At 46.1% G+C, this 25952-nt stretch overlaps 1 protein-coding gene and 1 long non-coding RNA gene across 23 annotated transcripts in view, besides 6 other annotated features; one reads left to right on the forward strand and one right to left on the reverse strand.

Annotated features, from left to right (window-relative positions):
* COBL (cordon-bleu WH2 repeat protein) overlaps positions 1–1807 on the reverse strand; it is a 300598-nt gene extending 298791 nt beyond the window's left edge. For all 22 annotated transcript variants that reach the window (NM_001346443.2, NM_001346442.2, NM_015198.5 and 19 more), the window contains exon 1: positions 1591–1807. In NM_001346443.2, coding sequence (NP_001333372.1) covers positions 1591–1631 — 41 coding nt within the window. In that variant the 5' untranslated portion in view covers positions 1632–1807. The remainder of the gene's footprint in view (positions 1–1590) is intronic.
* Positions 1982–3330, forward strand: LOC124901633 (uncharacterized). The gene is made up of 2 exons (XR_007060324.1): positions 1982–2222; positions 3045–3330. It is a non-coding gene; the product is annotated as an uncharacterized LOC124901633 (long non-coding RNA).
* Positions 2065–2658: an enhancer, noted in NCBI's record as "H3K27ac-H3K4me1 hESC enhancer chr7:51384764-51385357 (GRCh37/hg19 assembly coordinates)". NCBI's record gives its function as "activates a minimal SCP1, AML or CMV promoter by ChIP-STARR-seq in naive H9 embryonic stem cells {active_cell/tissue: H9 hESC(naive)}" and the evidence as "EXISTENCE:reporter gene assay evidence [ECO:0000049][PMID:30033119]".
* Positions 2659–3251: an enhancer, noted in NCBI's record as "H3K4me1 hESC enhancer chr7:51385358-51385950 (GRCh37/hg19 assembly coordinates)". NCBI's record gives its function as "activates a minimal SCP1, AML or CMV promoter by ChIP-STARR-seq in naive and primed H9 embryonic stem cells {active_cell/tissue: H9 hESC(naive and primed)}" and the evidence as "EXISTENCE:reporter gene assay evidence [ECO:0000049][PMID:30033119]".
* Positions 9767–10966: an enhancer, noted in NCBI's record as "MED14-independent group 3 enhancer chr7:51392466-51393665 (GRCh37/hg19 assembly coordinates)". NCBI's record gives its function as "activates an origin of replication core promoter dependent on BRD2, BRD4, P300/CBP and CDK7 cofactors, and independent of MED14, by STARR-seq in HCT116 cells {active_cell/tissue: HCT116}" and the evidence as "EXISTENCE:reporter gene assay evidence [ECO:0000049][PMID:35650434]".
* Positions 11744–12610: an enhancer, noted in NCBI's record as "OCT4-NANOG-H3K27ac-H3K4me1 hESC enhancer chr7:51394443-51395309 (GRCh37/hg19 assembly coordinates)". NCBI's record gives its function as "activates a minimal SCP1, AML or CMV promoter by ChIP-STARR-seq in naive and primed H9 embryonic stem cells {active_cell/tissue: H9 hESC(naive and primed)}" and the evidence as "EXISTENCE:reporter gene assay evidence [ECO:0000049][PMID:30033119]".
* Positions 12611–13476: an enhancer, noted in NCBI's record as "OCT4-NANOG-H3K27ac-H3K4me1 hESC enhancer chr7:51395310-51396175 (GRCh37/hg19 assembly coordinates)". NCBI's record gives its function as "activates a minimal SCP1, AML or CMV promoter by ChIP-STARR-seq in naive and primed H9 embryonic stem cells {active_cell/tissue: H9 hESC(naive and primed)}" and the evidence as "EXISTENCE:reporter gene assay evidence [ECO:0000049][PMID:30033119]".
* Positions 13470–13764: an enhancer, noted in NCBI's record as "tiled region #3180; HepG2 Activating DNase matched - State 8:EnhW". NCBI's record gives its function as "activates a minimal TATA promoter and a strong SV40 promoter by Sharpr-MPRA in HepG2 cells {active_cell/tissue: HepG2}" and the evidence as "EXISTENCE:reporter gene assay evidence [ECO:0000049][PMID:27701403]".

A 25952-nucleotide genomic window follows, 5' to 3' on the forward strand; every position in this document is an offset into this window, starting at 1 on the left:
CAGTTTTGCCGGCCTTTTAAATGTTCTCTCTGTCTTCATATTTATTTATAAGGTGATAGTGACAAAATAATTCAGTGTCCTTAAATAGGCTCATTTAATAGGCTATGAAAGCCACAGATTTAAAGATACCTCTGTTTCACATTTCCCTGTTATTTTGGGATGCCTATTACCATGAAAAAGGATTTCCCACATTTACTTTCTTTCTGGGGAATTTGTTTGTTCAAAGAGAATTATATAACCACCAGTAAGTGCACTGCAAAAAAAAAAAAAGAGAGAGAGAAAGAAAACTTCTTTTTAACATTCCTCAGCTTCAGGATTATTTGATTTGCTAACCTGGCTCACCTTTTCCTGGCATTAAAGGAAAACTTTAAAATTTTAAAAAGAGCCCGACTGAAAGTCTTTTACACACTTGGGCAACACGCCCGCCTATGGGCACATGGGCAGGGTGAGTCAGTGGGACACAACTGTAACAGAAAAAAAGATTTGTTGTCCCCAAAGCTGCCTCCTTCAAGTCCAGTTGCCATAGCAGAAAGTGGGCCCATTCAGTAAGCAGGTGCAGGGCTCACCCCAACCCTCATTCCATTTGCAAGACTCATACACATTTGCTCCAGGCGAGCGAGCGAGTTCGAAGGTCCCCGGCGCGCCGCGCTGAAAACTACAAAGTCCACCGGGACTGCGCGCTACCCCGCGGCCCAGCCTGCACCGCTGGCCGGGATGAGCACGGCGCACCTGGCTCGGGGTCTGAATAATGAGCAGGGCTGCTCGTCCTGTTTGAGGGAAATTACTCTTTCTGAGAGTCAAATCCTGAATGTGACGTGTAATCCCTGCACGCAAGGTGTGGGGATAGCAAACAGAAACCGGGAGAGGTTTGGGCAAAAGCGGAATCGCGAAGACAGGGATGGGCCGCCAGACTCGCGGGTCCGCTACGGATGTCTGCGCCTCAGGCCTGGCCCCACTAGGACGCCCCTTCCACTGCCAGGGGAGACCCTGGAATAAAGGCAGGGAGGGAGAGCTGCTGCCATGAAACCCTCCGGGCAATCCGAACACCTTCCGAGAACGCGGGGCCCGGGCGGCTGCGAAGCCGGGGAGCCCTCCCCTCCACGCTGCCGGGAGAGCCGATCCTGGGGCTGCCGCCGAGGCCGGGAGAGGGAAGACTTGATGGGAACCGGCCAGGGGCAAGCCCGCAGGGAAGAGGCCGGAGTCAAAGGCCGGGCGTCCCCTCGCTCCCCGCTCCACCCCTACGGCAAACACTTGGGGGGCCTGAGGAAAGCTCGGAGCTGAGTGGGGGCTGTGCTGGCGGGGACCCCCATAAGGACGCCTGCATACAAACCACCCCGCGCGAAAAGTGCGCTCCGGCCCCGGCCCGACACGGTTACCTGGGCAACGACCCGGGTGCCCAAAGTACACAGCACGCACCACCACCCAACACCAGCACCCAACACCAGCACCGCACCACCTGCTCCACCACTACCACCAGCACCCGCTGGGGCGGCAGAGAGGGCGCCCTGCCCGGGAGCGCGCGGTGCGGACGCGGGCGTCCGAGCCCAGGGAAGCCCCCTCTCCACCCCGCCCGACCGCGGGGCCGCTTACCCGGTCGGGGGCTTGGCCGCCGAGGCGCGCGGCGCGTCCATGGTGCCGGGGGCCGGGACGCGGGCGGTGCTCCGGGCCCGCCGAGTCAGGCGCTGGCTACCGCCGCCACCGCTGCCGCCCTCATTCACTTTTTCCGCGCTGACCCATCGTCCTCCCACGCGGGCCGGCGGAGGACAGCGGCGGAGCGCGGCGGACGGAAGGGGCTGGAATCGTCTCTAGCGGGCGGGGGCGCCGGGAGCGCAGGGAGGGGCTGGCGGCGGCGCGGGGCGGGGGCGCCGGGAGCAAGGTGCGCCGCGCCCCCGCCCCGGCTGCTCTGCCGCGCCCACCGGAGCGCCGCCCCCGCCCCGCCCCGCCCCGCCTGCTCAGAGTCCCGACCCGGCCCGCGGCGAGCGTCCGGGGAAGGAATCCTCCGGCACCTGGGCCCTGCACCGACACCCGCGGGTGCGGCAGAGGGCTTCTCCCCGTGCTCCTCCACCCCTGGGGGGAGCGCGACCCTCTCTGGGCGGAGTGGGGGATCCCGGGGCCGGCGCCTCCTGGCGGAGTTGGGGGAGGGGAACCACCTGGAGCCTGGAGGCCGTGCGAGGGCGAGGTGGGCGGACCAGCCCGGGAGGACTGACGTTGGAGGGTGAGAAGTGAGTGTCCGGCACCGCTCTCTGACCTTTATCCGTGCAGCAAATGTCTAGTGCGTAGGGTCGCAAAGTGGGAGTCCCGACCGGGAGCGTCAGGAACACCTGGGAACTTGTTAGAAATGCAGATTTCTGGGGCCCACCAGGTCCCACGGAATCAGAAACAGTGCGGGCTGGAGCGCGGCCTCGCTTTGCTAACAACTCACTCGCTCTAGGTGAATGCTCGCTTAAGTTTGCCAACCTGATTCACTGGGCGCTACTGTGGCACAACCCTGCCACTCCAGTGCGGGCTGGCGGGCAGATATGCAGGTCCTGCCGGCCACGCCGGGGCCCAGAGCAAGTCAGCCAGAGGTCCCTTATCTGCCCAACTTCACCTCCACTCTCTAAGATCTTGGTTGGTATGATGGGCTGACCTATAAAAGTGGCAGTTTCATATGGTTTCAATGACTCGAATAAAAGACCAACAAGAGGCCAGATCGGGCGAGCCTGATAGCGTTGGGGGTGACGCTCCCCTTGCGATCTTGTCATTGGATGAGGTATCCAGAGGCCTGCGCAGCCTTCCTCCCTCTGATCCCCTGCTTTCTCATTAACTGAAGGGGGGGCAGACCAGTCTATATGCAAAATGTGAGTCCTTACTCGTGGCTGGCAGATCTTGGGTGCTCCCTGCTCCCACCTAGAAGGTTTCCTAAGTCCCCAGGTGGCCCTGGGGCTCACTTCCCTGCAGCCCAGCCTCCCATGAGTGGAGCGCTTTCCCGGCTCAGGGCCTCTGGCTGGGATGCTGCTCCACAGTGCTCTTCCTCCTCCTTTTCATCCCGTGGTCTCCCCAAGGAGCCTTTCCTGGCCTCTCTGTCTAAAAGCACCCTGCGGAGCACAGTGGCTTACACCTGTAACCTCAGCACTCAGGGAAGCCAAGGCCGGAGGAGCAGTTGAGCTCAGGAGTCGGAGACCAGCCTGTGCAACCTGGGAGAACTTTCTACAAAATAAAAAAATTAGCGGAGCATGGTGGCACACACCTGTAATCCCAGCTACGGGGCGGGGCGGCGAGTGGGGAGCAGGCTGGACAATGGAGTGAGATCCTGTCTTAAAACACAAAATAAAAGCAGCTCTCACTCAAGCTCCTGACTGCTGCCTTGTCCTAATTTTCTTCTGAGCATTTGTCACTGTATGTGTGTGTGTATGTGTGTATGTGTATATATATATGTGTGTGTGTATATGTGTATGTGTGTATATATGTGTGTGTTTATATTTAAATGTAAGTTTATAAAGAAATGTTTACATGTAATGTGTTATATTTATAGACATGTTTATATGAATGCATAAAATTTGTATTTATGTAAACTTATAAATATGTATATACATTATATATAAATGGAATAAAAAACATAAATAACATATCCTATTCCGCATATATTTTGCTCATGTGTTTGCCATTGGTCTCCTCCCTAGCATGTGATCTTAGCAAGCGCTGGGCCTTTGTCTGATTTATCACCCCCAGCATCTAGGGCAGTGCCTAGCAGGGTGGAGTCAGTGCTCAGTAAACAAAGGGTGCACTGAATGAATGAATCTCTTCTTGCACCTTGGGTGTGGGTATTAGAGAGTCTCTCCCAAAATCTGGGGAGCCCCTCCTTGCTCTGGACACCACCATGGGAAGGGCTGCCCAGGAGGGGCCAGAGCTGAAAACTAGACTAGGCACTGTGAGCCAGACCCCATTGAAATCCCTAAGGAGAAGTCCACCTCACAGGTGACACATACTCCAAGCACCTGGCAGAGGCAGCAAGAGGAAGTATGGTGGGGACATGGAGCAAAAGAAGCCCGGAGTGACCCAGTGTCTCAGATGCTGAGCACAGATGGCAACAGGAAGCCCGAAGCAGGTGGATGGTGAAGAGTAAGAGAGCTCCTCAACATCCAGAAAAACAATGAGAAGGAGGTGACGTGCCACCTCCAGGCCAAGATGCAACTTGCTGTTCTAGGAAAAAGGCCCAGGTGACCCTAGGCCTGGACAACCTCAGATCCTTGGAAGGCCCCCAGACATCTACTCAGAAACCCAACAGGGACCAGTTTCCAGAAATGAAGTGGAGGGTTAAGCCTGGTTAGAGCTGTCAGGATGAGACACAGAGTAAAGGTCAGACTTCTGCCAGAGGGAGGAGCTTCACGCTGTGACCCAGGGCCTGCAATCTAAATGGGCCAGGACTGCCGATCACTTGTGTCAACTGTGGGGAGGGGCACAGAGCCTGGGGGGGCAGGCGGGGCCTAGGACCTGATCAGATTCTGTGCATATTGCCACCCACACTTCCCTGACTGATAAGGGCCCCAAGAGATGCAACTGTGGGGAGTTGTTTTCCAAAATTGTATAGTTCAACAGATATTTCTGAGCATCTACTGTATGCCAGCCTTTGTCTGCGGTGTGGATGTGGCCACCTCATAGGGAGGGCTAGGCAAGGAAATCAGTAACAGACAGGGCTGAGCTCTTCCAGACAGACAGTGAGAAAGAGGAATAGGTGATGGGCTGAAAGCAAAGGGCTGAGTGGGGCCTTGTAGAGGATGTCACCAAGATCAGCCTACCACTTGTCACTGAGCAGAACGCACTCCTTCCTGTGCTTACTGACTTCAGCAGAGCAAATGGCACAATCACACGCTAGGGAAACTCAAAGGGAAAGGTGTTCTTTATGGACTCTTTCCTGCACATGCTTTTAAATGTCCTTATTAAAACTGTCACTTTTTTTTTTTTTTTTTTGAGAGGGAGTCGTTCTGTTGCCCAGGCTGGAGTGCGATGGCGCAATCTCGGCTCACTGCAACCTCCACCTCTCATGTTCTAGCGATTCTCCTGCCTCAGCCTCTCAAGTAGCCAGGATTACAGGCGCCTGCCACCACGCCCGGCTAATTTTTTGTATTTTTATTAGAGATGGGGTTTCACCCTGTTGGCCAGGCTGATCTCAAACTCCTGACCTCAAGTGATCTGCCCACCTCAGCCTCCCAAAGTGCTGAGATTACAGGCATGAGCAACCACACTCAGCCACTTTTTCAGATGTCGACCATCACTAAATCATCTATATTTTATAGTGTGGCAAACATCCAGGGATGTGCTGATAAATGCTTACAAATGATATTTTTAAATTTTTTTAAAAAGAGCCCCTATTTGTAGCATTTGCCAGTTTTTGTAGTGTAAACGCACCTTGGCAGATTTCAAGCTAGGGTGTTGTAAAGTCACTGAACAGGGAGTTACAGAAGATGCAGCAAGACCGCAACTCTCCATGATTTGCCTTCCCACATGCGTGAAAGCAGAACCTTTGCCCCTTCATCCACAGAGCATGGCTGAGTGCTGCTCTTTGTCCCAGGACACCATGCTTGTGTCCTGATATGGGCTGTAATGGGTGCCCTTGGCTATAGCTCTGGACTACAGTGGCATCAGCTCTTGCCCCAAGCAGTAGGAGCTACCCTGAGACCAGGGTGTAAGGCTACTTGAAGGACATTCTCTCCTTGGTCTAACCCCATCCCCCTTCTTTGCTCCTAACTCTCCTCCCAGGCACACCTGGGGTCTCAACAGCCCCCATCGGCGTACACTCAGCTCTCCATGACTCGAGGTGGGTGCCTGCAGTCACACCAGCTGCTCTTTCTGGAGGGAAAATGAAAGGAAGAAAGCACATCAAAGACACAGATGGAAGCAGTCCAGTTTAAAGCAGGGCTTCGTAAACGTGGATACTTCTTGGGATGTTATTAAGATTTAGTTCGTGATGCAGTGAGTCTGGCTGGGACCTGAGAGTCTATGTTTCTAACAAGCTCCCAGGGAAGTGGAGACTGCTGGCCCAGGGAGCACGCTTTGAGTAGCGAGGGTTTAGGGTCAAACACAGTGAGCATCTTCGGGCCTGATCTTCCACTCACTGGTGGTATTGCCGAGAGCAAATTACTTCTCTCTAGGCTTTAGTGTCCTCCTCTCTAAAATGAGAATATTCAGGGGTGGATCCAGATTTCAAAGGGCCTGAATCTTACAAAATTGTAAGGACCTTTTAAATAAATAAAGCATACCATATGATTAATGCAAATTTAGATACCAAAAGGATCTTTATTTTGAATGTGTTATGGACCGAATTGTTTCCCCTCAAAATTCATAAGTTGAATATAACTGTAATTAGAGTAGAAACTGTCACTGTAACCAGTGTAAGGGTAATTACAGATAGAAACTTAGAAAAGTGAGTAAGTTTAAGTGAGGTCATAAGGGTGGGGGGGCCCTGATCCTATAGGGCTGGTGTCTTTATTGGGAGAGGAAAAGACAACAGAGCTCTCTCTCTTTCTTCACCAACCGCAGTGGCACCTTGATCATGGACTTCCAGCCTCTAGAACTGTGAGAAAATGAATTTTTGTTGTTTAAGCCGCGCAGTCTGTGATATTTTGTTATGGCAGCCCATGCAGTCTAACACAGATTTAGAAACTAAACCATTATGGATGCAACTTTTTTTTGTTTTGTTTTGTTTTGTTTTTGAGATGGTGTCTCACTCTTTCGCCCAGGCTGGAGTGAAGTGGCATGATCTCGGCTCACTGCAACCTCCACCCACCAGGTTCAAACAATTCTCCTGTCTCAGCCTCCCGAGTAGCTGGGACTACAGGCATTCACCACCATGACAGGCTAATTTTTTTTTGTATTTTTAGTAGAGACAGGGTTTTGCCATGTTGGCCAGGCTGGTCTTGAACTCCTGACCTCAGGTGATCCACCCGCCTCAGCCTCCCAAAGTGCTAGGATTACAGCGTGAGCCACCGTGCCTGGCCAGTTGCAACTTTTCAAAGCTGACTTTACTACAACAAGTGAGCAAGTGATGGCATAACAGTAGTTCTGCCTTCCGGGGGTAAGAATAGTGCCTACTCACCAGGCCCAGGGGGAGGATTACACGGGATAAAGTGTGCAAATTTCTTGCGGTGGTACCTGACACTGGTAAGCAATCAATCCACATAACTCTTACTATTCAGACTTGTTCACTTGCTTTTGGTGCATAGTTCCCTGCACAACCATGCAGCTAGAGTCCTGGCCCCTTGAAAAGAACTTAAAGCAGAAACAAGAGCCAAACACCCGTCATTGCGCTCTGGCAGGTGTACATGTCACCTGAGCTGGGCCAAGGTGGTGCGGGGGGGCGGCTGGGGGTGCTGTTTTTGGGAATGGGAGAGTCATGCATCCAAAGTCCTCTTCTCCAGCCAGTGTGCTGCAGTACTCGAGTCAACCTCAGCTCTAGAAACCCTTCCCTCTGTTTCCTAAAACCCCCGGGAAAAATGTAAATTCTCCAGCAGAAGACACTGCTCGGCATTTTATGGAGCTGTGGCTGTGGACAAGCGAAAGAGCTTGGGTCTGTAGTGAGGAGCTGTTGAATTTAGGCCAAGGAGACCCTTGAGAAAAGGTTTGGGGCCCCACAAGTCCAGCCTTCCACTCTCCCCATTACATTCTCAAGTTTGCATTAAGGCGAGAATTGAATAACTTTCTTTTCAGGATGGTACATTATTAAACAGGACATATTTTACATGGGGTCATTAACTAACAATAGTAACTCAAAGAAATATTTATGTAGAGTGCTTTCTTTTTTTCTTTTCTTTTTTTTATTTTTTGAGACCAATTCTCACTCTTTCGCCAGGCCAGAGTGCAGTGGCGCAATCTCATCTCACTGCAACCTCTGCCTCCTGGGTTCAAGCGACTCTCCTGCCTCAGCCTCCCGAGTAGGGAGTAGCTGGGACTACAGGCGCCCGCCACTATGCCCTGCTAATTTTTTGTATTTTTAGTAGAGACGTGTTTTCACCATGTTGGCCAGGCTGGTCTCCAACTCCTGACCTCATAATTCGCTCTCCTCGGCCTCCCAAAATGCTGGGATTACAGATGTGAGCCACCGCACCCTGCCTGATTGCTTTCTTTTTATCAATATATAATTCACATACCATCAAATTCACCTCTCTCAATTCAGTGGTTTTTAGTACATAGAGTTGTGCAACCATTACCATTGTCTAATTTCAGTACATTCGCATCCCCCCAAAATAAACCCTGTGTCCATTAGCATCCACTCCCCATCCTTCCACTCCCTGAAACCACGATTTACTTTATGTCTCTATGGATTCACCTACTATGGTCATTTCATATAAATGGAATCACACAATATGTGGCCTTTTATGACTGGCTGCTTTTTCTTTTTTCTTTTCTTTTCTTTTTTTTTTTTTTTAATTGAGACAGAGTCTCGCTCTGTTGCCCAGACTGGAGTGCAGTGGCACAATCTCAGCTCACTGCAACCTCCGCCACCTGGGCTCAAGTGATTCTCCTGCCTCAGCTTCCTGAGTAGTTGGCGCTGTAGGCATCCACCACCACGCCTGGCTAATTTTTGTATTTTTGGTAGAGATGGGGTTTTGCCATGTTGGCCAGGCTGGTCATGAAGTCCTGACCTCAGGTGATCCACCCACCTCGGCCTCCCAAAATGCTGGGATTACAGGCATGAGCCACCGTGCCAGGCCTATTAATAGTTAATTTTTAAGGACCACTTCCTAGATGTGATGCACTATACTAAACTCATTAATAACTCTAATCATTGTGTGTATATATATAAATATACATACAAAAAAATTTTTTTTGAGACGGGGTCTCACTCTGTCACCAGGCTGGAGTGCAGTGGCGCAATCTCAGCTCACTGCAGCCTCAGCCTCCCAGGTTCAAGCAATTCTCCCACTTCACCCTCCTGAGTAGCTGGGATTACAGGCGCACCACCGCGCCCAGCTTATTTTTGTATTTTTAGTAGAGATGGGGTTTCACCATGTTTGGCCAAGCTAGTCCTGAACTCCTGACCTCAGGTCATCCACCCGCCTTGGCCTCCCAAAGTGCTGGGATTATAGGCATGAGCCACCATGCCCGGCCAATCATTTTATATTTTAAATGATCTGAAAGGTAGGTACTATTGTTGTCCCTTTTTAAAAATTATATTAAAATTATACAACTTTATAATAAAAATATAATGAAATATAATTATATTTTTATTTTATGTATATTTATTATATATTATAATTATATAATAAAAATCAGCCTTGTCCCCATTTTATAAGTGAAAAAAATCAAGAATTAGGGAACTTAAGTCACCCAATGTTACACAGGGCAAAGATTCATACCAGGCAACCTTACCTAAGACCCTGTATTCTTGGCCATTGTACAAATGCATCACTTTAATCTATGCCTGTCACCCAGCCCTCCCATGAAGCATTCAATGCAGAAGCAGCCCCAGCACCTAGCGTTTGTCAGCACATGCATGTTGCGCTCTCTGCCAAGTGGCAAACGAAGGAGAATGTGTAGGTTTGGCTATCCTGCCACTTTGTCATGAAGCTCTTATTTAAGCCACCAGCTGTCATAATTTTCCTGCTAGTGCGAGCACACTGAGAGCTATGCTTCCCGTCCTGCACTGTGTAGGGAGGCATTTCTTCACCTCTTTGCAGAGATGTTCAGCCCATGATCTTACGTAACATTGCACCCACGCCCTCCACCCACATAAGGATTATGCAATTGCGTGTAGGATTCCTTGCGGTGTTTTCTGGAAATATGAGCCTCTTCAGAAAATGCATCCACGTAGTTTTGACGAAAGAGGATTTTCTGACCTGTGCTGATGAATGTTCTGTCTTTATATATAATTTTGCCTTGGAGAACTTGTCTGGTTTGAAGTCAACTGAAGGTTAAGGGCATATTCATCTACAAATAAGATTATATCCTTCATACTTATTCAGTTTTATTCAATTCCGAAGTCATTCCAAAAATCAAAGATGGCTTTAGCAGTATTTTATATCCTCTTTTATACTGCACTATATATTACAATTCTCTATTATTTAACATGGTTCAAGAGTGGAGGGGTTGGCTGATGGAATATAACTACAATTCTAAATTTTTGATTTATGTTTTTGGATATGGTGGCTTTTGATGCCAATCCATGGCCTCCTTCCCAGAATTATAATTTGATCTTTTTAGTGAGTTTATAGGCTACATTTATCAAGGAGAAGAAATAAAAGGAATGGTTCTCTATTCCTGGCTTCCCAAATATTTAGCATTTAGGAAGGCTCCCAGCTGACACCTCTCCTGTGTTACTTTCTGCATCAGGCTTGTCCAGGCATGTTGGATGGACAGAGAATGTAGGCTGCCAGGATATTCACATCTCATGAGGAGTGTGGCGCCTCCTAGAAGGAGCTCATCCTGGGCGTTGAGGGTGGCTGCGTAGGAGAAGCTCAAGGATCAGCGGGTCTCTCATTATCTTGGGTGGGGGATTTGTGGCCTCACACTGTGTCGAGCAGATTGTGACCTCCTCCAGGCCTTCAGAGACTCCTGTGGTTCCGGCAGGTCCAAGAAGGAGCAGCACTGAGCCATATCACCCTGGGTTTTTCTTAGTTAAGGCCTCAGGGAGGAGTTCATTTACAATGGATTTTGAAGTTGTAAAGGAAGGCCTTAGTCATAGGGGCAACTGTCAGCACCACCAGCCAGACATAGTATTGTAGTATCGCTGGCAGCGACGAGGGACAGATAGCTGAAGAAAAGGGACCTAGGGATGCCACCAGGTATGAAGGAAGCACTAATTTGTGTAGTCCAGGAAGAACTTCCTTGCGGGGGTCCCAGAACCATCAGTTTCTTGGAGTTCCTTAAGGTAATGGGATAGAGGCAGGAGCATTCTCACTCACCACTATAGTTGGACATTATTTTTACTTACAGGCTACTGTAGCCTAGGAAACCTCAGTTATGTAACAAACATATTCTCCAGAAATATTTTCTGAGACCTTCAAGAATCTGCAGATTCATGATGATGGAAATTTGGGTACAGGCTTCTCAATTTCTCCAGAATAAATATTTCAGGAGAGAGGCTTCTGCAACCTTGTATGACAACATTCACAACAAAAGTTCAATGTCCCTTGAATTGGCAAATCATCACCCACAAACAACAGACACTAACACAGCTGTTTTTACTCCAAAGAGCATCTGCATCATGCTTACTGAGTCAGAAACACCATAGCTGAGTGGAGATGGGGCTGCTGGAGGTGATGGTGTGTCCTCTCCAGCCAAAAGCTTCCCCTGGTGTGCTCAGTAGAATTACACCTTCCTTCTTGTTGCAGCCTTCTGGGCTATTTTTTAAATTAAAAAGTAGAATGAAATATCAGATCTGTGAATGCCATAGGGCTACTGTATTCCATTTTCTAATATGATTATATGATTTCTTTTTTTTTTTTTTTTTTTAAACAGAGTCTCACTCTGTTAGGCCCAGGCTGGAGTGCAACGGCGCGATCTCAGCTCACTGCAACCTCCACCTCCTGGGTTCAAGCCATTCTCCCACCTCAGTCTCCCAAGTAGCTTGTATTACAGGCCCCCACCACCATGCCTGGCTAATTTTTTATATTTTTAATAGAGACGGGGTTTTGCCATGTTGCTCAAGCTGGTCTCAAACTCCTGACCTGAGGTGATCCGCCTGCCTCGGCCTCCCAACGTGCTGGGATTAGAGGCGTGAGCCACCGCGCCTGGCCTCTTTTGTTATTGATTGAAACAACAGCAAAGATGGGAATGAGAGTGTTAGGGAGGACATAGCAAAGTAAGGAGGAATGCTGATACTATGGAGGAATAGCTCCTTCCCACACTCTAGATTAAACATTCACCCCAGGGAACAGATCTGTCAAATGCAGGCACCCCTGGAATGTTTACTCCTCTGTAGATGTTACTTTTGTTTTTCAAATTAATCACTTGAGCATCACATGCCTTTTGGCAGAAGTCAACTCTCTTCATTTTGAGGACCCCATCGCTGTTCAATGATCCAAGAATCCCACGGGCTAAATGGGGTGGGAGGTCAGTCCTCACTCGGCACCAATCTCAGAGGGAGCTGTGCCCATCAGTGCTGTGACTGATTGCTGCCGACTGTGGACAAGTCGGGGTGCTCCAGAGCCCATGTGTGCCGGGCCCCCAGAGGCAGGCCGATTCCAGCTGGCCGCAGGGCTTCTTTGGGGGATGCCTGGGGAAGGTGCTTGCCTTTACATGTCCCAGGTAATAACTCTTTCTAGTAACCTTCAGAGCCCCTTCCCAGGGCACATACCAGACCCCAGGGCATCAGGGGACACGGTTGGGGTACTGGGTAGATTCTTGGATTCTAAAGCAGAGGAGTCCAAGTCCACCTCTCATTCTACCCGCAGCTCTGCTCCCACCAAGGCAAGGCAATGGATTGAAGCTGTGCAAAGCACAGCCGGCCTTGCATGGTCACCCCTCTGGGGCCAAAGCCACCTGCTTGTCCGACATTTGCATAACTAACAAAAGTACTTAAGTGATTCTGGGAAGAATGAGGTGAATCCAATTCTTAGTGGCTCTATGCCTCTGCCTGAACCCAGGTGCAGCTGGCCCCCTCTCTAAAGAAAAGAAAATAGCAAACCTGCTTGCAGACAGAGGCTCATCCACACCAGAGGGGCAGTGACCTCCCTTCATTGCTTAAGTATAAGGGTGGCAGCAGGACTTAACCTGGTATGAGGGGAGCAACGCGGTGCCAGGGCCTCAGGGAAGATGATCAGGGCCTGCGTAGCTGCAGGGTAAGTGATGAGAGGGAAGCCAGGCTGCCAGCTCCAGAAACTAAAAAGAAGAGGAGGTGATGGTGAGAACTTACTTACTCTATCTGTACTCAACTGTGTGTGTGTGGTTTTATTTTTTGCTTTTTTTTTTTTTTTTTTGAGATGGAATCTTGCTCCATTGCCCAGGCAAGAGTGCAGTGGCACAATCTCGGCTCACGGTAACCTCTGCCTCCTGGGTTCAAGCGGTTCTCCTGCCTCAGCCTCTTGAATATCTGGGACTACAGGTGCATGCCACCACACTCAGCTAATTTTGGTATTTTTAGTAGAGATGAGGGTTTCACCATGTTGGCCAGGCTGGCCTCGAACACCTGACCTCAAGTGATCCACCTGCCTCGGCCTTCCAAAGTGCTGGGATTAACAGGCGTGAGCCACCGCACCTGGCTTGTACTCAACTGTTTTTATTTCACTTATTGACACAAACACATTCTACCAACAGGCGAAGAAGGAAGGACTGGATGGAAAAGGAATAAAGTTGCCTTATTCTCCCCTTTCCTTCTATGTCATTATTTTCACTGTTAGGTGGCTAGCTAATACATAACTATCTTAGCAAATGTAAATCAGCAGATGTTTCAAAAAAGGTGAAACTCATGGCTTCTACACTTCTCAGTGGGGGGATGGGTCTTCTGGGTCATCCTAGTTACTTTACTGCCAAGGGACTGTGGGTGTATGGGTGGGTATGTGGTATGTGCGTGTGTATGTGTGTGTGTGTGTGTGTGTGTGTGTGTGTGTTGCTCCCATCACAGCAAGTAGTTGGAGTAGGAGGAGTGGTTTGAGTGGATATTGGTCAAGGTCACTGATAAAAAGAGCAAAGTGATACAAAGGTTCAGCATGGGCCTGTTAGTGTGGGAGGTGACTAAATGTTTATTTTTACATGTAAATGATCAACCTATCTACTTTAGTCACACCTGGTAAATGTGTGTGTGTGTATGTGTTGCATAAGAGCTTGAGGAGTTGATTTGAGAGGGCAGTGAGACATGGATTATCCTTCTACAAAATATAATCTCTGTATAGAGTTTGAAGAGATTACAGGGAAAGCTCACTAGGCCATGTTGTGAGTTCTAGAACCAGGAGGAATGGAAGCTCACCTCCCAGGTGGAGATGTGGCCTCTCTGCACTATAGGCAGTATGTGTTACTATACACCTAGCTAGGGATGAAACAAAGTGTGTCCAGCACCTGCCCCCACCACCCCTTGCCCTGGCCTATGCTGACTGTAAGATGGCTTGGCTCAGAATAGCAACTAATACACACAAAAATGAGTCTGTTCCAATATTTATCATCCCAAACTGCATGCAAATATGCTAAAGAAGTATACTGGGATATTTCACTGTGGTTAGTTACTACATATAGAAAAGAGAATAAATAATCTAAAAATTCTGAATTCCCAACCAGTGAGGGATCTATTCTGGACACCTTTCACCTGGCAGCTCTAGTTGGTGAGAATAAACAGAAGGATGATGTTTTGAGACCCAAGGAAAAAACCCCGAGGCCATTCAAAGCCACTTAGTTTAACCTGCCTGACCTGCCTAATACCAAAGAGGCAACTGGAGCAATGAGCTTATGGCCATAGAACGAAACAGTCTCTCGCATCCCCTAAGCCAGGCCAAAAAGTTACCCAGCAGTTTCACGATGTTTAGACCAATACTTCAGGCACTCATCATTTCTCATCTGGAGGATGGTGGCAGCCTCGCTGCCTCTTGTACCACCATTTAATCTGCCTCAGGATGGGTCTGTTACTGGAAAGGGGTCCTGAACCAGACCCCAGGGAAGGTTTCTTGGATCTTGTGCAAGCAAGAATTCAGGGTGAGTCCGTAAAGTGAAAGCAAATTTATCAAGAAAGTAATGAATAAAAGAATGGCTACTCCATAGGCGGAGCAGCCCCGAAGGCCCATTTTTAGGGTTATTTCTTGATGGTACGCTAAACAAGGGGTGGGTTATTCATGCAGCCCCTTTTTAGACCATATAGGGTAACTTCCTAACATTGCCATGGCATTTGTAAACTGTCATGGTGCTGGTGGGAGTGTAGCAGTGAGGATGACCACAGGTCACCATCTTGGTTTTCGTGGGTTTTAGCCCACTTCTTTACTGCAGCCTGTTTCATCAGCAAGGTCTTTATGACCTGTATCTCGTGGCGACCTCCTATCTCATCCTGTGACTAAAAATGCCTTAACCTCCTGGAAATCCAGCCCAGCAGGTCTTAGCCTTATTTTCCCAGCCCCTATTCAAGATGGAGTCTCTCTGGTTCACATGCCTATGACAGGCCTACTAAACACAAGTCTGACCTTTTGTTACCAGCCAGCATCACTATCCTCACATGCCTTAGGATTCTTCAGTGGCTCCCACTGCCTGAAAAAGTCAAGTTTAAACATACATGTATAACATTTTTGACCCTGTATAAATTTGGCTTTTCTTTTATCCTCCTGTTTTTCAGAGAAAATGGATAGCCCAGACAAAGGTTTCAGCTAGCCTGGTCATTAAGTGCTAGGATTTATGTGGGTCTTAGGAGACAGGATTTTAGCAGGGAAGCCACTCCAATTTTTACCTGTTGAAATTATTTAAATATTTTAATGCTCTGTGTGAACAAAACCAAATTTATCTGCAGGGCCAATAAGCTCAGAGGCTGCCAGTTTTTACCCTTTAGAAGAGGATCATGCTGACAACTAACATTTCTTGATTAAGAGTTTATTGTTCTTCTAAACACAAGTCAAAGAGCACTCTATCCCAAGAATAGAAGAATATGTGTTCTTTTCAAGTGGACATAAAATATTTGTCAAGATAAAAAATATTATGGGCCATAAGAGAAGTCTCAAAAAACATAAACAAATTAAAGTCATACAAAGTATTACTCCGGCCACAATGGAATTAAATTACAAATCAATACAAAATCAATATCTGGAAAATCCCAAATATTTGGAAACAAAATATCACACATCTAAAAAACCCAAGTGTTACAGGAAAGGAGTTCTGATCCAGACCCCAACAGACGGTTGTTGGATTTCACATGAGAAAGAATTTAGGGTGAGTCCACAGTGCAAAGTAAAAGCAAGGTTTAAGAAAGTAAAGTGGTGAAAGTACAGCTTATTCCATAGACAGAGAAGGAGTAAGAGAAGGAACGTGTCCACCATAGGTACAATGCTCGTATATATAGGATAAAAAAAGAAGCTGGGCACGGTGGCTCACCCCTGTAATCCTAGCACTTTGGGAGGATGAGACAGGCGGATCACTTGAGGGTGGGAGTTCGAGACCAGCCTGGCCAACATGGTGAAACCCCGTCTCTACTAAAAATACAAAATTAGCCGGGCGTGGTGGCATGTGCCTGTAAACCCAGCTACTTGGGAGGCTGAGGCAGGAGAATCCCTTGAACCCCAGAGGTAGAGGTTGTAGTGAGCCGAGATAGCACCACTGCACTCCAGCTTGGGTGAAAGAGGGAGACTTGCCTCAAACAAACAAACAAACAAACAAAATCATATATATATACAATAGGCAGATGTGCTCTGCTTCAAGGGTTTGTGATAAAGGATTAATTTTCTTAATTACTGTATTTTGCAAGAATTGATATTACTCTCTCTTTTTTTTTTTTTTTTTTTTGAGATGGAGTCTCACTCTGTTGCCCAGGCTGGAGTGCAGTGGCGCGATCTCAGCTCACTGCAACCTCTGCTTCCTGGGTTCAAGCAATTCTCCCGCCTCAGCCTCCCGAGTAGCTGGGACTACAAGCACGTGCCACCAGGCCCAGCTAATTTTTTTGTATTTTTAGTAGAGACAGGGTTTCCCTGTGTTAGCCAGGATGGTCTGGATCTCCTGACCTCGCGATCTGCCCACCTCGGCCTCCCAGAGTGCTAGGATTACAGGCATGAGCCACCATGCCCAGCCTGATATTATTATCTTTAAAGCAAAATTAGGAATGTCTTTGTTCTCAAGATATTAGGATATTAGGATACTCCCAAGTCTGGGTCTGTTTGGTAAACATTATCATTTTGTTCCCTTAACCATAAACATCTAGAGGCTGGGAATACCTAACTTTCTGGGAATGTAGCCCTGCGAGTCCCAGCCTCATTTTCCTAGCCCTCGCTCAAGATGGAGTCACTCAGGTTCCAATGCCTCTGACACAAGGAACAAATAGGAAGTCAAAAGGGAAATGAGAAACTATTTTGGATTGAATGAGAATGAAAACACACTGTATACATTCTGTGGGATGCTGTTAAGGCAATATTTGAGGGAATCACACAGCACTAAAGACTTCTGTTAGAAAAGAAGTAAAGTCTTAAACCAGTGACCTCAGTTTCCACCATAAGAAACTAGAAAAAAAAGAAAGGCAAATTAAACCCAACCTAAGCATAAGGTAATAAAGATCAGAGCAGAAATAAATAAAATAGAAAACAGAGAAAACTTCAGAAAAAAACTCAATGACCTCAAACATTGTTTCTTGGAGAATATCAACAAAATTGGCAAACCTCTAGGCAGACTACTCAGGTGAAAAAAAAAGAAAAGATACAGATTACTAATATTAGGAATGAAAGTGATCAATCACTACAGATTCCACAGATATTAAGAGATAAAAGTAAACATCAATAACTTCATGCCAATAAAATTGATAATTTAGATAAAGTAGATTAATTTCATGAAAGACACAAATTGCCACGGCACACTTAGGAAGAAAAAACACCCTATTATCTATTGAAAACATTCAGTTTGAAGCTAAAAACCTTCCAACAGGCCAGGCAAGGTGGCTCACGCCTGTAATCCCAACACTTTGAGAGGCCAAGGCGGGCAGATCCCAAGGTCAGGAGTTCAAGACCAGCCTGACCAACATGGTGAAAACCCACCTCTACTAAAAATACAAAAAGTAGCCAGACATGGTGGTACATGCCTATAATCCCAGCTACTCAGGAGGCTGAGGCAGGAGAATCGCTTGAACCCAGAAGGTGGAGGCTGCAGTGAGCCAAGATTGCACCACTGCACTCCAGCCTGGGAGACAGAGTGAGATTCCCTCTCAAACAAAACAAAACACCTTCCAACAAAAAACATTCCAGGACCGGATGATTTCACTGATAAATTCCGCAAAACCTTTAAAGAAAATATAATATCGATTCTACGGAAACTCCTCTGAAAAGCTGAAGATAAGGAAACAGTTTCTAACTAATTATTAATGAGGTTGGCATTATCCTTACACCAAAAGCAGAAAAAGATATTACAAGGGGAATTTAAAGAAAACCACAAAACTCTGCAATCAATGACCTTTGCGAACATTAGTGTAAAAGGTCTCTATTAGTTAAGGTTCCCCAGTGAAACAGAATCAATAAGATGTGTATAGATACACGGAAAGAGATTTGTAAGGAGGGATTGGTTCACAGTATTGTGGAGGCTGAGAAGTCCCACAGCCTGCTGGTCTGTAAGCTGGAAGCCCAGGAAAGCTGTGGTGTAGTTCTAGTTCAAGCCCAAAGGCCTGAGAACCAGGAACATCAATGTCCAAGGGCAGGAGAAGATGGATTTCCCAGTTTAAACAGACAGGAATTCACCCTTCCACTTTTTTTTTTTTTTTTTTTTTTTAGGCGGAGTCTTGCTCTTGTCACTCAGGCTGGAATGCAGTGGCCAGATCTCGGCTCACTGCGACCTCCGCCTCCCGGGTTCAAGAGATTCTCCTGCCTCAGCCTCCTGAGTAGCTGGGATTACAGGCGCCCTCCACCATGCCCAGCTAATTTTTGTACTTTTAGTACAGATGGGGTTTCTCCATGTTGATCAGGCTGGTCTCCAACCCCTGACCTCGGGTGACCCGCCCACCTCGGCCTCCCAAAGTGCTGGGATTATAGGCGTGAGCCACTGCGCCAGGACTTGTTTTTGTTCTATCCAGTCCCTCAGTGGATTGGATGGAGCCTACTCACCTGAGTAAAAGTAGTGTTGATTATCTTGGGAGTGGTGCCATATTGGGGTCTCAGTGTTAGTCTCTGCAGCTGGGAGACTGGGCACTCAGCAGCGGCCAGGGCCGGGTCATCTTGGTGAGTGGGAGTCCGTGTTGTGGAGCCTATGCATAACTCCCACGGCCACTTGGTTTATTACAGGAGAGGCTGGGAAAGCAGCTGACTGGTATCCACAGAACGGGTCATCCTATGCACTTGATTATTAAAATCATCTTTGGCTGAGGTTACCCTTTGGTGAGCATTCACATTGGGTACAAATATCTTCTCTTTTTTCTCATTCAAAGAAGCCTACCACATATTTCTTTCCCAGAGTTATTTGTCATCAATTTTCCAATCATTTTTCTTCCAAGTCTTTAACTATCCAGCAAAACTATTGGCCACAGCCCATGAATTGGCCTATAATTGCACATCTGCCCATTTCTTCTTCCAAGCAAAGTGAACAACGAGGTGCATTGCCTGAAGCTCTTCCCACTGGGAAGATTTCCCCGCACCACTGTCCTTTAGGAATGGCCACGGTAGGATTAAATTAGAAAAAATAACAAAATCAACATCTGGACAATCCCAAATATTTGGGATGTGCAAGAGAGGGCTGCACTGCTGCAGCTACCCACTCCAACTGCCACTGACACCTCAAGCACCATCTGATCTGCTGGGTCATGTGGCCCACATGGCACAGGAGCAAGGACTTGTTGCAGCACCTTCTCTTGTTCTGGGCACCCCCCACCAAAAAAAAAAAAACTAGCAGCTTTTCAGGTCACTCTGTAAATGGATCAGAGTAATACATACAAATGAAGAATGTCTTGCCTCCAAAATCCAAGAAGCCCTTTTCGACATTGTGCCTAAAGAGGGCTCACTCCAACCTTCATCTCCCAGGCTCAAGCAATTTTTCCACTTCAGCCTCCAGAGTAGATGGGACTACAGTTGCACACCACCTAGTCTGGCTAGTTTTTTAAAAAAATTTTTATTGTAGAGATGGAGACTCATTATGTTGCCCAAGCTGGGTGTTACTGCTTTTGATTTATGATATTCCTAGGTAGAAGCAGTTTTAATGGTTCACTTGGCCTCTCCCACCTAAAGAAAGTCTTGGTTGTAGGAGGGGCCAAATACAACAACATATCCTTCACTTTAGAAGAAATATCTTGGCATGTTCCACACCACTGGATCCATAGAAGGCCCCTAAAGTTTCTTTCTCTCTCTCTCTTTTTTAACCATAAGGCTTCCTTGCAAAATAAATATTCATCAGATTTGTTTCCTACCCTCTGACACATAATCAAGGTAATGAACCAGGTCATATTTTGGAGAATGGAAAGGCTATCAAGATCCCTGCAAACTAAATTACGGCATAGGGCTGGGAGCTGAGCTAGAGCAGGGAAGGTGTGTTTCTGCCTTGCCAGCTGTAAGCAAACTGCTTCTGGTGGTCTTTAATAACAGGTAATGAGAAAAATCTGTCAGATCAGTAGCTCCATATCAGTACCAGGAGATGTGTTCATTTGCTCAAGCAGTGAAGCCACATCTGGTAGAGCAGCTGCAGTTGGAGTAACCACCTGCTTAAGCTTATGATTCATCCACTGTCATTCTCCAAGGCCCATCTGTCTTCTGTATAAGCCAAATAGGAGAGGTGAATGGGGATGAGGTGGGAATCACCACCTCTGCGTCTTTCAGGGTCTTGATGGTGGCACTAATTACTGCAGTCCTTGCAGGAATGTGTTATTGCTCTTAGACAGAGAGAGATAGTGTGTCGCTCTGTCACCTAGGCTGGAGTGCAGTGGTGCAGTCCATCTGAGCTGGGCTCAAGCAGCCTCCCGAGTAGCTGGGTCTACAGTTGTGCACCACCCAGCCTGGCTAATTTATTTATTTATATTTATTTATTTATGTATTTATTATTATTTTAGGTGGAGTCTTGCTCTGTCACCAGGCTGGAGAGCAGCGGCTGGATCTTGGCTCACTGCGAGCTCCGCCTCCCGGGTTCGCGCCATTCTCCTGCCTCACCCTCCCGAGTAGCTGGGACTACAGGCACCCGCCACCATGCCCAGCTAATTTTTTTATATTTTTAGTAGAGATGGGGTTTCACCGTGTTAGCCAGGATGGTCTCGACCTCCTGACCTCGTGATCTGCCCACCTCGGCCCTGCAAAGTGCTGGGATTACAGGCATGAGCCACCGCACCCAGCCGGCTAATTTATTTTTATTTTTACTGTAGAGATGGGGTCTCACTATGTTTCCCAGCCTGGGTGTTATTGCTTTTGATTTATTATTTTCCTAGGTAGAGGTGGTTTTAATGGCTTCACTTGGCTTCTCCCACCGTAATAGCGCTCACTCCAGAGGTCAGGAGACATATGCAGGGGTTTTGCCACCTGCTAAGTACATCTATTCCAATTCTCCATCTGGAACTGGGAAAGTAACCATAGGTTAGGTCCAGGGACCAAACTGGGTTCACTGTGAGATGGACCTGAGCTAAAACTCTACTAATCAGCTGACATCCGTAAGCCTCTACACTGACAGGTCGGCCACAGGGGTACATTTTGGCTCTCTCAGCATTAATGTTAGTTCAGAGCCAGTGTCCAGTAGTCCCCGAATTCTCCGATTATTTCCTTTTCCCCATTGTATAGTTATGCTAGTCTCTTTGGGTACTGAGAGAAAAATTAACAGTATAAATTTTCAGTAGTGAACTACGATCCTTCCTCAAGTGCATGTGGCTTCCCCTACATTCAAGGAGTTCTAGGTCTGTAAACTGGATCAAGTCTAGGAATTGACTGAAGGGCTCCAGATTTATCCTATGAATTAAATTAAATGAAAATCAAAGGTTGATTTAATATTCAAAATGCAGTCACTGCATTTCATCATATTAATAAAATGTTAAAAACCATATGATCATCTCAATGCAGAAAAAATGTGCTAACATTCAAGCATCCATTGCTGATCAAACAAACACTCAGCAAATCAGAAATAGAAGTCTACTTACTCAAGTTCATAAAGGACATTGATGAAAAACCTACAGTTCACATCATACTCAATGGTGAATGAATACTTTCTCCCTAGAATTATGAACTAGGCAATGATATTTGTTACTAGGCAATGATATTTGCCTAGTAACAACTTCTACTTAACAGTATGGTGGAGATTATAGCCACTCCAATAAGACAGTAAAAAGACATAAAAGGTATCCATATTGAAAAGTAACATATAAGACTGCCTTTATTCATACACAGGGTATACACAACTGTTTATGTAAAAAAATCTGACAAACTCTACAAGAAAAGCTACCAGTTTTAGCAAAATTGCAGAAAACAAGATTAATATCAAAATTTAATTTTATTTCTATAATATAGCAACAAACAAGAGAAAACTGAAATTCATAAGACAGTACTATTTAAAATAGCATAAGATATGATATATTAAGAGGTAGTAAATCTTACAGAAGATGTACACGACTTGAACACTGAAGGCTACAAAACATGTCTCAAGAGGAAATGAAGCAAGAGCCAAGTAAATGGAGACACACACCATGTTCAGGTCAGAAGACTAATATTACTAAAATGTCAATTTCCCCTCAATTTATGTATAGTTTCTCTGGAATTTCAATAGGTTTTCTTGTAGAAATTATATCTGGCCAGGTGTGGTGGCTCACACCTGTAATCCCAGCTACTCGGGAGGTTGAGGCAGGAGCATTGCTTGAACCTGGGAGACAGAGGTTGCAGTGAGCTGAGATCACACCATTGCACTTCAGCCTGGGTGACAAGAGTGAGACTTCCTCTCAAAAAAAAAAGAAAGAAAGAAAAGAAAAAGAAGGCTGGGCATGGTGGCTCACACCTGTAATCCCAGCACTTTGGGAGGCCGAGGCGGGTGGATCACCTGAGGTCAGGAGTTCGAGACCAGCCAGATCAACATGGCAAAACCCCATCTCTACCAAAAATACAAAAGTAGCCAGGCATGGTGGCACATGACTGTGATCCTAGCTACTTGGGAGGCTGAGGCAGAAGAATCACTTGATCCCGGGAGGCAGAGGTTGCAGTGAGCCGAGATAGCACCATTGCACTCTAGTCTGGGCAACAAGAGTGAAACTCTGTCTCAAAAAAAAAAAAAAGAAAGAAAGAAAAAGAAGAATAATGTTGGAGCTGACATTATCTGATCTCTAGACTTACCCTAAAGCTATAACCATCAAGAAATTTTGGTTAGCACACTGCACGAAGCATGCAATATTAGCATAAAGGTAGACAAATATATCAATGTCACAAAATAAAGAATCCAGAAGTAATCCTACACTTATAAAAAAACTGATTTTCAACAAATGGACAATTCAGTAGGGAAAGGATAGATTTTCAACAAATGGTGTGGGAACAAGTGAATATTCCAAATGAAAAAAAATTGACTTTGATTCTAATTTGTACAACATATAAAATTTAATTCAAAACAGATTATAGGCCTAAAATTATAAAGCTTCTAGAAGAAAACATAGAAGAAAAGTTTTATCACCTTGGATTAGACAAATATTTCTTAGATATGACACCAAAAATCCAATCCATAAAAAAGTTATAAATTTGACTTTATCAACATTTAAAAAATTCTGCTCATTGAAAGACCCTGCAGGATGAAATCACAAGCCACAGACTGGGATAAAATATTGGCAGTTCACATATCTGATAAAGGACTTGTATTCAGAATATATATATATATATATATATATATATATATAATATACACAAATACATATTATATATGTAATCATATTATATATGTAATCTCAAAACTGTTTAATAAGCAGAAATACAACCCAGTAAAAACACAGGTAAAAGATTTGAAGAGACATTTAACAAAAGGATATACTGATTGATAATAAGCAATGAAACGATGTTCAAAATCTTGTTAGTTGTTAGGGTAAAGTAAATTAAAGACAACAAAATGCTACCACACACCTATTAGAATAGCGAAAAATAGTGAGGCTGACCATATTAAGTGTTGGAGAGGTTGTGGAGGGACTACAACTATCATTCACTACTTGTGAGAATGTAAAATGATGCTACTTGGAGGACAGGTTGGAAGTTACTTCAATGTATTCAATATGCACTTACCATATGATCCAACATTCCACTGTTAGGTCTCTACCCATGAGAAAAGAAAGTATGTGTCTATACCCAGACTTATAGACCAATGTTCCAAGTAGACTTATTTGTAATGGCCCCAAACTGGAAACAACACAAGCGTACAGCGGGCAAATGGCAAAACTAATTATGGTATGTATATATGATGGATTACTACTTATCAATACACAAGAATTAGGCCAGGCACAGTGGCTCACACCTATAATCTCAGCACTTCGGGAGGCTGAGGTGAAAGGATCACTTGAGCCCAGGAGTTCAAGACCAGCCTGGGCAATATAGTGAGACCCTGTCTCCACAAAACAATAAAAAAATTAGCCAGGCATGCTAGTGTACCCCTGTAGGTCCTTGAGGCTTGGTGGGAGCCCCAACTTGGGGCTGAGGTTGGAGGATCACTTGAGCTCAGGAGTTAGAGGCTGCAGTGAGCTGTGATCTTGCCACTGCAATCCAGTATGGGTGACAGAGTGAGATGCTGTCTCAGTAAAAATAAATAAACAAGAATTAATTCTTTATATATGCAGCAACATAGAAGACCCTCCAAATAGTTCTACTGAGTGAAGGTAACCAGATATGGAGAGTACATGCTGGATAATCCCATTTTATAAAACTCTAGAAAATGCAAATTAATCTCTAGTGGCAGAAAGCAGATGAGTGTTTGCCTGGGGACTGCAGGTTCAGGAGGGATTGTAGCAAAGGGTGGGGAGGGAGCAATTCAAAGGGTAATGGATTGGGCATGATCTTGATTGCAGTGATGGTTTCATGGGTGTGAATGTATATCAAAACTTACCAACATAGGCTGGGCGCAGTGCTTCACATCTGTAATCCCAGCACTTTGGGAGGCCGAGGCGGGTGGATCACCTGAGGTCAGGAGTTCAAGACCGGCCTGACCAATATGGTAAAACCCCATCTCTGCTAAAAATATAAAAATTAGCTAGGTGTGGTGGCATGTGCCTGTAGTCCCAGCTACTCGGGAGGCTGAGACAGGATAATTGCTTGAACTCGGGAGGCAGAGGTTGCAGTGAGCCGAGATTGTGCCACTGCACTCCAGCCTGGGTGACAGAGTGAGATACTGTCTCAAAAATAAATAAATTTAAAAAAACAAAACAAAAAATAAAACAAAAAAGCTTACCAATGTGCACACTTGAAATATATGCAGTTCATTATATGTCAATTATACTTAAGTAAAACTGTTTTAAAAACACTCTATGAACTAAACCATATGTATCTGCAGGCCAAATATATCCCAAGCCACCTGTTTTCAATATCTGGGAGAGCAGGGTGCTGGAGATAAAGATGTCCAGTTTAGAAGTTATTGTTCCTCTAACTATAAGTCAAATCGTGTAACCCCCAAATGAAAGAACATGCAGGAAGGCTGGCTCTAACCGAAGCATGCTCTTCCACTCCATCTGACCTCCCATCATATTCCTGGACTCACCTGAACAATGATCCCTGGTACAGGGCTGATACCCTAGCTAAATACAAGCGTTAGGTTTAAACTACTTTTTAAAATATCTACTGTTTACTAAGGAAATCCACTGTTTACTCTTTATTAAGGTTCTTATCAAAGTCCGGACAGCCCTCTGTGGTCTACACACCTCCTGTGAGCTCAGAGAGTTCCATTCCTTATCTCTTAGTTGGTACCAAGCTCACACTTCCTTTTGATTTTTCAGGTATGCTGTGCTTAGTATTTATCACGCTATTCTTTTCATGCTATTTACTAAGAACGAACAGATCTGGGATTAGATCCAGGTGAGCTTCTTAGTGTCCCTGAGCTCCAGCGTCCTCAGTGTAAGATGAGGACAACACTCAAGGTGCACACAAAAATGGGAGGTGCAAAGGGGAGAGTTTCAGGCAGCGAGTGTGCATTCTTTAGTGATTAGTTGGACAAGTGGAATGCCTGGTGGTTTTCAAATCTTGTTATGTTTAAAAGTTTCATATGAGGCCAGGTGTGGTGGCTCACACCTGCAATCCCAGCACTTTGGGAGCCTAAGGCAGGCGGATTCACCTGAGGCCAGGAGTTGGAAACCAGCCTGGCCAACATGATGAAACCGCGTCTCTACTAAAAGTACAAAAATTAGCCGGGTGTGGTGGCAGACGCCTGTAGTCCCAGCTACTTGGGAGGCTCAGACAGGAGAATTGCTTGAACCT

Source organism: Homo sapiens, chromosome 7, assembly GCF_000001405.40.
Source record: "Homo sapiens chromosome 7, GRCh38.p14 Primary Assembly".
NCBI lineage: Eukaryota > Metazoa > Chordata > Mammalia > Primates > Hominidae > Homo > Homo sapiens.